This window comes from Homo sapiens, chromosome 1 (genome assembly GCF_000001405.40).
Source record: "Homo sapiens chromosome 1, GRCh38.p14 Primary Assembly".
In the NCBI taxonomy this organism is placed as follows: Eukaryota; Metazoa; Chordata; class Mammalia; order Primates; family Hominidae; genus Homo; species Homo sapiens.
In genome coordinates this window covers 183,893,212-183,905,698 of record NC_000001.11, presented here as the reverse complement: position 1 = coordinate 183,905,698, position 12,487 = coordinate 183,893,212, and the positions used below count along the sequence as shown (strand labels likewise).

The 12,487-nt window shown below is 41.0% G+C and overlaps 1 protein-coding gene across 13 annotated transcripts in view, besides 1 other annotated feature; it reads right to left on the bottom strand.

Moving 5' to 3' along the window:
- The window catches only part of RGL1 (ral guanine nucleotide dissociation stimulator like 1), a 292,424-nt gene that overhangs the window by 22,834 nt on the left and 257,103 nt on the right, over positions 1–12,487 (bottom strand). For 12 of the 13 annotated variants that reach the window (XM_011509339.4, XM_047415682.1, NM_001297669.3 and 9 more), the window contains 4 exons: positions 7,802–7,891; positions 5,463–5,549; positions 3,099–3,131; positions 728–849 (listed from right to left, as the gene is read on the bottom strand). In XM_011509339.4, the coding sequence (XP_011507641.1) occupies positions 728–849; positions 3,099–3,131; positions 5,463–5,549; positions 7,802–7,891 (332 nt within the window). The remainder of the gene's footprint in view (positions 1–727; positions 850–3,098; positions 3,132–5,462; positions 5,550–7,801; positions 7,892–12,487) is intronic. The other variant, NM_001297672.3, reaches the window with a different exon arrangement.
- Positions 7,418–7,577: an enhancer, noted in NCBI's record as "active region_2225". NCBI's record gives its function as "activates an Ori minimal core promoter by ATAC-STARR-seq in GM12878 lymphoblastoid cells {active_cell/tissue: GM12878}" and the evidence as "EXISTENCE:reporter gene assay evidence [ECO:0000049][PMID:35858748]".

The following is a 12,487-nucleotide window of genomic DNA, read 5'->3' as shown; positions in this document are numbered from 1 at the left end:
GGGCACTCAAGTGAACATGCCTTTCTATGCCCATCCCACTATTTTTAAACTGTTCTTTGTGTCCCTGCCACACCTGAGTTATCACTGTTCCTTCAAATGCCAAACATGTCAGGCCACCAAGCTTTTGCTTGTGTTCTCTCTCGGTCTGGAATGTTCTCTTCCGGTTCTTATGGCAAAATCTTGTTTCTCCTTTACAGCCAGCCTAAATATTAATGCCTTTATATTTTCCTTATTTTCCCCAATTCTTCCCATAGGTTTTGTAGGAATGTAGTTACCCATCATATTTCAAAGTTTCATGAGTCTCTCAACCCCTCTAGGTTGAAAGCTTCCTGGAAAGCTACCATCAATTAACAGGAATGACAAACACAGTGACAGTGGTGGTGGTGACAACGCTGAGGACAAGCATTCTAACAAAGCATTCCCACATAAGATCTTAGTTACGCCTCACAAACATTCTACAGATGAGCATCCTTAAGATAGGGAAGAACAAATGACTTGTTCAAGGTTACAAAGATAAATAAGTGGCCAAGCAAGAGTCTGAAAGTACATCTTGATGCTATCAACTCAGCCTTTCCTGCCACACCATGCGCCTTTGAAAACCAAGGACCTGGAACCTAGCAGCTGCTCACTAAATAGTTGTTGAATAAATGACCCAGCGAGGTATTAAATGCAGCATTTTTCTTGCCAACACTTCAGTTCTACCCCGATGAACGACAGGTGATCCCACCTCTCCTCCTCTGTCAGGAGCTGCTGCCTCTGGAACCACTGGATGAACTTTTGGTCTGGGGTCATGCAATAGCTGTTGCAGGCAGACTGTAAGAGCTTTATCTGGGCAATCACTTCAAATTCCTAAAGCAGACAGAATACCAAAAATTAAAAAAAAAAGACTGAATAATAAGGCCAACCAAATATAGAATCTTTCAACATGAAAATATACCACATTAGGATAAAAGATGAAGAAAACCATCTAGGAGGATTCTGAAATACTGCTTCCTTAAAAATAAAGGAGCTAACTAACTCTTAAAAATTCTAACTAGAACTCTCCAAAGTCCTTGTATGCTTTAATTTTTAATCCTCTTTTCTCCTTGAGAAAGCAATTTGTATAAAACAAGCTACCAAAGCAACCCAAACTAGTCACTACGTTAAGTTACAGTGGCTTCCTTTTTCTCTTCTTCACTTTCATCCTTGGAATAGAAAAATGATTTTTAAGGTTTTAAGTACTTCATAAAATATATTAATTTCTATTCATATTTCTTAAAAAAAAGAAAAGAAATACTTTAAGTCAGGGAGCTCCCAAGATCCCCATCCCCATCTTCCTCAACCTTTACCCCTCAATAAATAAGTTTTGGTAGGGCTGAGTATCTAAACAGTCCTAGGTCTCATAAAATTGAATGTTTAGATTTCCTGAATCCTTGGGTTTTTACTACGCCACTAAATCATTTAACTAAGTCTTTTAAAACTCACAGAGAGGCAAGTACATAATTATGTTGAAAATTATTTATACTTATTTGGATGTTTCAATAAAAAAAATTTAAGTCAGCAATGGGTATAAGCTTTAGGTTTAGGTTTTACAGTCAAACTTTCCAGAAGTTTAATATCCTAGTCTAAAAAGGAAAGAGATTACCAACCACAGTTATTCTGAAGTTAAATGACAGAGAGGGGAACTGAGGGGGCAATAACTGAATTTATTATCATTACAGGACATGACAGAAGTAACTCAAGAACTGGTAGATTCTCCAAGTCTCAACTTGCCATCCAGTGACCTCGGCCCTTGGTCTCAGTATCCTCAAGGAATATTTACCATCATGCTAAAGAAAAAAGTATCGTCTATATGGGACAAAAAATTTACATTTGTCCAGGTTAGTATCTTGTTCTGATAAGCCCAGCTTTGTTTAGCTCCTCTATGCCTTTTTGGTTTTAACTTCAACGTCATTTTCTCCTGGAAGTTTCTCTGGCCCTACAAGTTGGAGATAGATACCCCACCTATATACTTCTCTAACACCCACTACTTCTGCTCACAAACCCTTTTCAGGTTGTATTATAACTGCCTATTTATTTGTCTACCTCTCTCCTGGATTGTGAACTTTACGAGGGCAGGCAGCTCTGTTCTTTCTCTGCTGTAATTCCCAAACCCCCCCCATGTTAGGTAGACAGTCAATATTTGTGGAATGTGAAAGTACTGAAAAATAACGAGAGTACTACAGGGTGAAGTTATTATTTTGCTCACTCATTTTCCTTTGAGTCTTTTAAATATCTATTTAAATATGCCATTTGAATATGAAAATCACAGAAAAATTTCAAGACTGTTTTATCTTGAATAGCACAGTTCAGAACTGTGCTATCCACAGGAAGAGTGAAATTGATGTTGAGCACACCTTCCTATGCTGACACGAAAGGGAAAGAATAACTACCTACACCGAAGACGAAGGCCATTTCCTTTCCTCTCTCGAGTATACCCACGAGAGTTTACCATCTTTATTAACTCTTCTATGTCATTTACTCATCAGAAACCCCTTATCCTTAATAGGGTAAACCTGGTTTTTATTTTAATTGGCAAATTAAAAAATTGTTTGTATTTATGGTGTGCAACATGATGTTCTGAAACATGTATATACCGTGGAATGGCTAAATCAGGCTAACTAACATATGCATTACTTCACATATTTATTTGTGATGAGAATACTTAAAGTCTACTCTTAGTAATCTTCAAGTATAAAATACATTGTTATTAATTAAGTGGCAAGCCTGCTATTGCTGAAGCTAATTGTAAAGGAGATAAGGAGTGGGCAGGGAAGAAATGTGGGCTTTGGGGCATCAGGACAGGATGAGAACCCTGGCTTTGCCACCAAGAGATTCTCGTCCAGTAATTTAATCTCTTGAGTCCTAGCTTCCTCACCTTTGAATTGAGGATGATAAAACCTACCTCATAAGGCTAGTGGGGGATAATGTATAGGAGAATGCCAAGCAAAATGGTATATGATAAACGTTCAGTAGGTGCTAACTCATTTTTTTCTGCCTCTACAAAAAAACTTAAGTCCCCATTTCTTTCATTTTTTTCATGCTCAGACAAAGGAAACACAGCCAACAACTCTACTTACCCTTCTCCTTTTCTCAAAGTTTATCAGTCCACCCTAAAAGAAATTTTAATAAAAAGAGTGAGCAACCAAGCTACTTTAAAACACAGCCATATGTTGTCGTAGGTCACATTAAAATAGATCAAAGGGGTGATAAAGTCACAATTATCAATGATCCTATAATTACGACTACTGTGGAAGAAGAGAGTCCTGTTTTGCTTTTAAAAAAAGTATTATTATAAGGCAGGATAAGCAGAAAGCCTTCTCTTGAAATGTCTGAAACCAACTAAAATAGTAATGATAAATAATTACAAATCAGGATCCAAAGACACTTGCAGAACCAGTAAAGATAAAAGCTTGAGTAAATATTCCATTACACTTTTTTCCCTTACCAAAAGCAACTAAAACAGATGGTCATTGACTCATACGGTTTATCAAAAGGGAAGTCATTTCTCCATAGCATCATGAAAAGTTAAGTTTCAATTCTTCATCCCCTCAGCTCCTATTCTCAGTAGGCTGAATTTAACTTCTAAATCTTTGGTTACTCCCCAGAATTCCCCAACACTGATGGGTGTTTCCTGAGATAAGCTGAGAAAGAGGATGTGAAGAGACATAGAAGTCAGGAGATGCAAAATGAATAAATGTGTCCACAACACTGTGGCAAATCCAAAGGTAGGTAGATCTATGCAAAGTAACTTCTACTTCTTCTAATTAAGATACAATAAAAGCAGGCTGGTTGCATATGATAACAAGGGGGTAGTATATACTGAAATATGCAAGCAATCTTTCAATTTCATTTCAAATTTGAAATTTCTTCTTCACTTAATATTTTATTGCTGCTACTAACAAGTTGTTTATCTGAGTTTTCATGTATTTTCCCTTTCAGAGAAGATGGGGGATGAAGGGAGTAGGGGTAGAGAGAGGGGGAACAGAGAGAAAGAGGGACAAGGGGACAGAGAGAGAGAGAGACAGAGAGAGAGAAAAATACCCCACAGCAGGCAGCAATACAAAAAGAAAAGCATATTTGAAAAATCACAAATTTGACTGACTCTCTACCCCACCAAGTAGTCCTACTCAACATTAAAGTCTTGTGGGGTTTTTTGTTTGTTTGTTTGTTTGTTTTTGTTTGAGACCGAGTCTCACTCTGGCACCTAGGCTGGGCACCTAGATCGTGCAATGACACGATCTCGGCTCACTGCAACCTCTGCCTCCCGAGCTCAAGTGATTCTCCTGCCTCAGCCTCCAGAGTAGTTGGGATTATAGGCACCTGCCACCATGACCGGCTAATTTTTGTATTTTTATTTATTTATTCTTTTTCTTTTTTTTGAGATGGGGTCTTGCTCTGTCACCCAGGCTGAAGTGCAGTGGCGCAATCTCGGCTCACTGCAACCTCCGCCTCTCGGGTTCAAGCAATTCTTCTGCCTCAACCTCCTGAGTAGCTGGGACTACAGGCATGTGTCACCATGCCCGGCTGATTTTTGTGTTTTTAGTAGAGATGGGGTTTCACCATGTTGGCCAGGGTGGTCTCGAACTCCTGACCTCATGATCTGCCTGTCTCAGCCTCCCAAAGTGCTGGGATTACAGGCGTGAGCCACCACACCCAGCCTAATTTTTGTATTTTTAGTAGAGACGGGGTTTCACCATGTTGGCCAGGCTGGTCTTGAACTCCTGACCTCAGGTGATTCACCTGCCTTGACCTCTTAAAGTGCTGGGATTACAGGCATGAGACATCGCGCCCGGCCTTAAAGTCTTGTTCAAACCCAAACCCACTCCTTCATGAGCCCTGTTCATCACAACCCCTCATAAGAGTTCATTGTGGGCCGGGTGCAGTGGCTCAACGCCTGTAATCCCAGCACTTTGGAAGGCCAAGGTGGGCGGATCACCTGTGGTCAGGAGTTCAAGGCTAGCCTGGCTAATATGGTGAAACCCTGTTTCTACTAAAAATACAAAAAATTAGCTGGGCGTGGTGGTGCACGCCTGTAATCCCAGCTACTTGGGAGGCTGAGGCAGGAGAATTGCTTGAACCCGAGAGGCAGAGATTGCAGTGAGCCAAGATCGTGCCATTGCACTCCAGCTTGGACAACAAGAGCAAAACTCCATCTCAAAAAAATAATAATAATTGTCATCTCCCATGTTCTCTCAATGCATTTGTTTGAATTTCGATTATTACTATCGTTCACTGCTTATTTTGATATATTAATTACTTCCACTGGATTTTGAGCCACTTCTGGTGTTAGTCTTTGGTGTTATTCTTTGTATTCCTCCTAACAGCTAGCACAATGCCATGTACTTTTGGACCTTCAAAAGATACTAAGAGAAGTTAACTACTCTTTAGGGTATCCAGTGGGAAGGCTGCAGGCCCGATCACACCACCCACATGGAACTCACCTCGATGTAGTCCTGAAGGGCAGTGTCAAGCATGGTCAGGTCAGTCAGGAAGGTGCCCAGGTAGGGCACAGTTCCCTGCATCACACCCTGAAGAGCATCCAAAGCAAAACTGTCTTTATTGTCATTGAAAAGTTGAGGGGTTTTAGGAATCTTCAAGCTGGAGCAAATGGATGTATTCAAGGCCTAACTGCGGGCCAGTGGTGCTAACCTCCATGAATAACATTTTTTAAATTTCTACACAAATAGGATAGAAACTCCATGATCTAATATCTAACTTGTGAAATCATGAAAACCAAGCCTCAAAGCCAGGAGATCATACACATCTGTTCAAAAGTGTTGACTGTGGGGTTTATGTTTTGCTTTGGCTCAAGTGAGAAGGATGTCTGTTCTCTTTCAGAGCATGGGGACATTCCTGGTAGTTGGGGATGGCACTGGATAGTCATTGCCTCACCATTGGCTGTTGTACACAGAGAAGTATGTACCACAAAAGCATGGGGCATCACTATTAATATAACCCCTTGGGCTAGACTTGGTGACTAACTCTCAAATAATAGAGGAGGGAAAGAGAAAAACAGTAACTTCTGAGGAAGAACCTGGCAAACTCTTCCTTAACCAAGTAATAAAGATCAACATCATTCGTGTCACCATCAACATGACACCAGATGTCACGCTGAAACCATTCATTCACTCCTTGATGTGATGTGATGAGAAGGGCACTTTACTCTGTGATATTCTTTCTAAAAATCCAGAAGCTCAGTCTAATCACTAGAAAACAGCAGACAACCTCAAACTGTGGAACATTCTACAGAATACCTGGATAGACCCCTTAAGACAACCAAGGTCATAAAAAACAGTCAAGAAAACACTGTCGTAGACCTGAAGAGACAGGGGTGACAGACAACAAAATGCAGTTGGTATGCCGGATTGGGTCCTGGAACAGATAAGAAGATACTAGTGGAAAACTGGTGAAATCCAAACAAAGTCTAGATTTTAGTTAATAGTATTATGCCAGTGTCAGTTTCTTAGTATTGACAAATGTGCTATGGTTTTAGAAGATGTTAACAATGAGGGAAACTGCACTTCTAGCTTTGCAGCTTTTCTGTAAATCTAAACTTATTCCAGAATAAAAAGTTGGAAATGAAGGTGGAGGCACTTCTACCTACAACTGCAGGGATACACTATATTCATTTCACTAAATCTCCTTTAAAATCATCTCTCTTCTTCAGTAAGCCACCAAGGCACTAAACATCCTAAAGGAAAAGTAAAAAGCGGTCCCCATGGATCCCTTATCCTAAATCTCATCAAGCCAATTCTGGAAATTTTGGCAGAACACAAAGCCTCAAACAGGGTAAAGCCAGGCTGCTTGACATGAGGCTGGCTGCTTCCTCAGCCAGAACTGCTTTGTGAGGTTCATACCAAGGAGGGTTTTGTCCTTCAGGAACTCACTGTCAGCTGCAGTGTGTCCTTCCCATTCTGTGTACAAGGTCTCATCCTGTACTAAAATAATCTATTTTTTTGGTAACAGCTATTTTTAGCTTGTCTTTGAACAACCAAAAAAGTTTGTAACACTGTGAATGTTTTATAGGCTTCATGTTGCGGAAGAGTCCTATCATTCAAAAACATTTCTTACTTACGTTGAGCTTTCCAAAGAAAGAGAAAACCCTCTTAAAGCAGAATATTTAGAGTTTGTCAGTCTCTAATCTCCTCCCTCTGGTCTTCCACACTTTATGCTAACAGTCAGAAGTTTAAAATGAAGCTAAAGTTGATAATACCTATCTTTCAGTCTTCAGGAGGGAGGCATGATGCTCCTTTAAATATTGAAAAACTATAAAGATTTGGTTAGCCTTGGGATTAGTAAGGAGAGCTGGGCAATGGCTAGATTAGAACAAATGAAAAGATCTCTGAGTACAAGGACCAGGGCCCTGTGGAGAAGACACTCTTTCTCCTTGGTCACCATGTATCAGAAGCTGACTACAGTAGGAAGCTCAGGAGGCCCTCAGGCCAAGGTGGAGCAGCTTCTAAGTGCAGGAGGGGGCGGAAGAGACTGCAAGAGGGAGGAAGTCGACCTGCTGTAGACTCCCCCTCACCTTCAGAAAACAACTTTGCCAGAAAACAGGATTTGCCACCCAGTGCTTACTTCCTACTAGTTGAATGAGGGTAATCATCTCTCTCCTATAGACCTCCCAGGGCTGCTGAGAACAAATGGGGTAGAGAATGGGAGACCCTTTCTGAAAGCCTGGGTGCCCTGTTGACTGAAGGTGCCAGTGCCATGTGGGAGCCCAGACGCACACGGCCCTTCTCCTCTGTGAGCTGTCAGGGAAGACGAGGGCCAGACATACCATGTCCTTCTGGAGCTGCAGCCGCCTCTGGGTACGCTTCTGGTTTTCTTTCACACTGCTGTCCAGGTTTGCAAATTTTGAGGTTCCTTCCTGAGAAACAGAAATGCACACAGAGGGAATTGATACAGGATGCCACAATGGTAAGAAGTAAAGAGGCATCTAGTTTCTCGCACACAACCCTGCATAACTCTCGCTCGGAACACCATGCAAAATGAAGAGGCCTCCAGCAGGCTCTCACGATGTATATTATGCAAATACTTGGCTGGCTTGTTGCAAGTTGCCTATTTATAACGAGGCTGGTGGACTTGGATTTTCTTGTTCTTCCCCCAACTTTGTTTTTTTTTTTTTTGAGACGAAGTCTCACTCTGCTGGGAAGGCTGGAGTGCAGTGGCGCAATCTCAGCTCACTGCAACCTCTGCCTCCCAGGTTCAAGTGATTCTCCTGCCTCAGCCTCCCGAGTAGCTGGGATTAGAGGAATGCGCCACCACCTGGCTAATTTTTATATTTTATTTTATTTTTTGTTTTTAGTAGAGATGGGGTTTCGCCATGTTGGCCAGGCTGGTCTTGAACTCCTGATCTCAGATCATCCACCTGCCTCAGCTTCCCCAAGTGCTGGGATTACAGGCATGAGCCAGCCACCACACCTGGCCTTCCCCTTACTTTGTAAGAAGATCACCTGATTTGGTTATGAAAGCAATCATCAATACAAGCCAGGCAATTCTCATAAATGAAGACATTTTTACAGATCCCAAATTAAACTCAAAGTAATCAGATATCCTGAAAACAAAGATCGACTTCCTCAGTACATTTTGTGATTTCTCGATCTTGGCCTGAAATGGATGTGCCAGCATTCTGTGAAAGAAAGGGACTACTTCTGTAGCATTTCTTAGCTAAATGAAACTTTTGCACCGGAAGTTTTCTGAGGAAGTCCAATATTGTACTACATGACCAATCCATAAAAGTCGAACTTTCACACATCCCCAGCCCCCAGTCAGTTCTTCTAAATTGCCTCTCAGGTTTGGAACTCTTACAAATCAATCCTTCCTCCTGGTGCCTGAGGACACATGGCTACCCTTTCTCTCCTCCTGTCTATTGTAACAACAAACTCTTCTATATAATGAGTAATCATGAGTTTGCTGACTGAACATTAAGTGCTTTTGCGGTTTTGGGGTCTTGTTAAGTTCTCATTTTCCAGGAACTGCATGAATGGGGGGGTAAATTGCACAATTCAGTAGTATATAACTTCTACACTAGTTTTTCCTTAGTCACTTTTCCTGAGATTTATGTATTACCATAGCACGTGACCTTCCACTACTGTACAACCACAAAAGGGTTTTTTTCAGTGGCTTGGCCTTGCTGATAGTGATAGAGCATCAACATGTTCCATCTCTCAGCCTTAACTCAGGTCCCAGGTACACTACTGGGACAGAACCCACAGTGACTCATTACCTATTTAAGTTCTTCCCATCACAAATGATAATAAAGAGAGCCACTATTTAATGATCTCCCATTCATAGTTTTTCACAGGGATGAATGAAAATAGCCTATACTGGACATGGCGGCATGCGCCTGTAATCCTAGCTACTCAGAAGGCTGAGGCAGGAGGGTCGCTTGAGCCCAGGAGTTCAAGTCCAACTTGAGCAACATAGTGAGACCCCACCTCTAAAAAAAAGAAAGCAGCCTAATATGCGCCTTTCCTGTGCTAGATAGTTGTGAGTCCTCCGAAATTCTTGAGAATTTGCTTAGAGTGAGAAATCAATTATGTCTGACTTGAATAAGAGTGCCCACCTCTTTCCGGTGTGTAGGTCCTTCTGGTCTCCCTCCAGTATGTCAGTTATGGGCAGAGGAATAATGTATCATAAGTTATTGTAGACATGGCTAAAATTCCTAAAGAGAATTTCTGAAAAGTTCAAAGGCTCCTAAGAATCACAGAATAACAGAGGTGAAAGGGATCTCAAAAGAGCACTTAAGACAACCTCCTCATTAGATAGGAGAGAGAAACGCCTGAGATGGGGAGCTACAAGACTTGTTGATTCCATGACTTTATGATTTCATGAGAATGAGATTCCATCCCTGCTAGAGATCTAAAAAGACCGACGAGTCCCTATTATTCCAAATGAGGTGTCAACTGAAAATCCACTTACCTGCCACATCCAGCAGTTTCAGTTTTTCCTTCCTCAGCCCCAAATCTCCTACTCTGCAATGTCGCACAACACCAATCCCTTGAACCTTCTTGAAAGTTTTCATAGGTTTTTGTGACTGTATCACTCATTCTCTCCCCCTGCCTCCTCTGCTGTTCTCATATTCTCTTAGTGATTCTTCTTTTTGTCAAAGTTATCCTCTTGTTTTCTGCTGTACTCATGTCTTTGGAAATACTATCCAATCTCATGATTTTAATCATCACCTATGTTTGGATAAATGCCAAATCTCCCTCTTCCTCCATCAATCTCCTTCTCCCTCTCTCTCTCCTTTTATCTCCCCCTCTGCCCTTCTCTTCCCTCTCCGTCTCTTAGTGCAAATGGCTTGCTTAAGTCTCACCTTTTCTTTATAACCATCTTTAGCAGAGTTCAGCTACCCTCATCCATGCTGTTCTTGGGCTTCAGAGGGCCCTCTTCTACTAGGTCTAGATGGAACTTGTCTACTGGACTCTGGATCCATCTCCATAAATGTTGGTTAACTTAAGCTCAGTAGCTACCAGCAATTATAGCTCAGAACTGTCACAGTTGTAACAGACTCTTGCTCTAACTTTGAGTTTAGCATGTTTTGGAGTGTCACTGAACATACGTCTCCATCAGGGTTGAATTTCTGGGGCTTTCTAGCAGTCCTTTATATAAAGTCAACCGAAAAAATTCTTACCAAGAATCATGAGAACCAAGATTTGCTGGCATTCTGCTTTCTTCCCTGATGTCTTGAAATTTCCAGACTATAATTCACCTGCTTAGAATTACCCAGGTTTCAGAAATCACAAGGACATAGCAGGTTTAAGATAGTCTTTGAGAGGAAATGAAACATTTTTAAAAACAATTAAAAGGAAAACCACAGATTTTTGCTAATAATCATGTTGCCTGGGCCATATTATATAAGTGGCACGTTACATCTTCCCAGAAGAAGAGAAGTTAGGTCATTTAAAACTAAGAGTCCAAGAATTTGAGACCAGCCTGAGAAAAATAATGAGACTACATATCTACAAAAAATAAAATAAAATGAAACTATTATATTGTTACCCAACCATAAATCCGTATAAAACCAGGAGTAACACTAGAAACAGAGGCCGGTAGTTTTTCCTAGTGACTCTTTTGAGAAACTAAGTACCTTGTGATTCCATTTAAAAAAAAAATGTGCTGACAATTTACACTCAGAATTAGACACTTCATATGAAGAATGATTAACAAAAATGACTGGAAAAGGACCTACAGATATACATGGACTGCCCAAAGCATTTCACTATCATTAATGATAATGCACAGACCACATGAATTCACAGCCAAGTTTTCCATTTCTTTGGAATTTGAGTCATATCTATAAGAAATTTAATTTAGAGTACGGGGGGTAACTTCTGCATTTAAGAAAGGTTTATGGGATCTTTAATGTCTAGATACAGCTTCACTTCTAAGCCTTCAGCCAGAAGGCTGCTACCAGGCAATGAGCTGCACAGTATTCAATTTATCTACTTTGGAAGGAAGACTCAGGACTGTTTGGATTTGAATGTGTGGCTCCAGTTAGTCTAGCTTCGTACTGCTGACAGGGAGACCACTAAGCCATCTCCTTCCAGCCAGATGGGTTTCCATTTAAAGTATGCAAAGCCAGGGGCATGTGAAGCAGGGAGTAACACGATCTCAGTAATGATTGTTTAGTGTGCAGTTAATCAGGTAGTCCAAATCCAAAGTCAGACATCAGCACATACTGCCCTTCTCATATCACCTACTCCAAGAAGGGCTAATAGTGGGCATATTGTTAAAAAGTCATGTGAATGATAAGACCCATCAATTCATGCAGCCAAACAATAGCTTCTGAACACTTACTGCATGCCAGGCACTGGTTGGGCATTAGGGATACAAAGTGAAAAGATACATACAGCCCCTGCCTGCAAGAGGCCTACAGACCAGTAGAGAGACAGGCAGTTGCAACAGAGCAAGTGATAAGTGCCAGGACAGAGAAATGACAGCTTCTCCTGGAGCACAGACCTGAGAATGAAGGAAGGCTTCCAGAAAAGGAGGAGTCTACACTGAGACATGAAGGATAAGTAGGACATAGGACAGGAACAGTCATGAAGACCTTAACAAATGCCCTTATAGGATCGACTAACCTAAGGGTTAGCACCTGGATGCCTTTTCTTACTAACCCCACCTCTACCTGATTTTCACTCCTACTCCAAGTATCTTCCCTAAGCTCAAATATGCAGCTTATTCTCTATTTATTTTCATTTGTTATGCATACTTTGGTTTTACATGAATATAGCTCACCAAATACAAAAAATAACTTACATTTGCATAGCACTTTCAAGTATTTTACCATAGTGAATCTTCAAAACAATTCTATGAAGTCAACAGACCAAATACTTTGATTGGCTCCCATTTATAGAAAAGGAGATTAAGGATAAGAATCACAACTTTTGATTGCCCAGTTCAGGACTTTCCCCTATGGTAGGACCTATCACACTATTTTATAAATGTTTTACCTCCCACA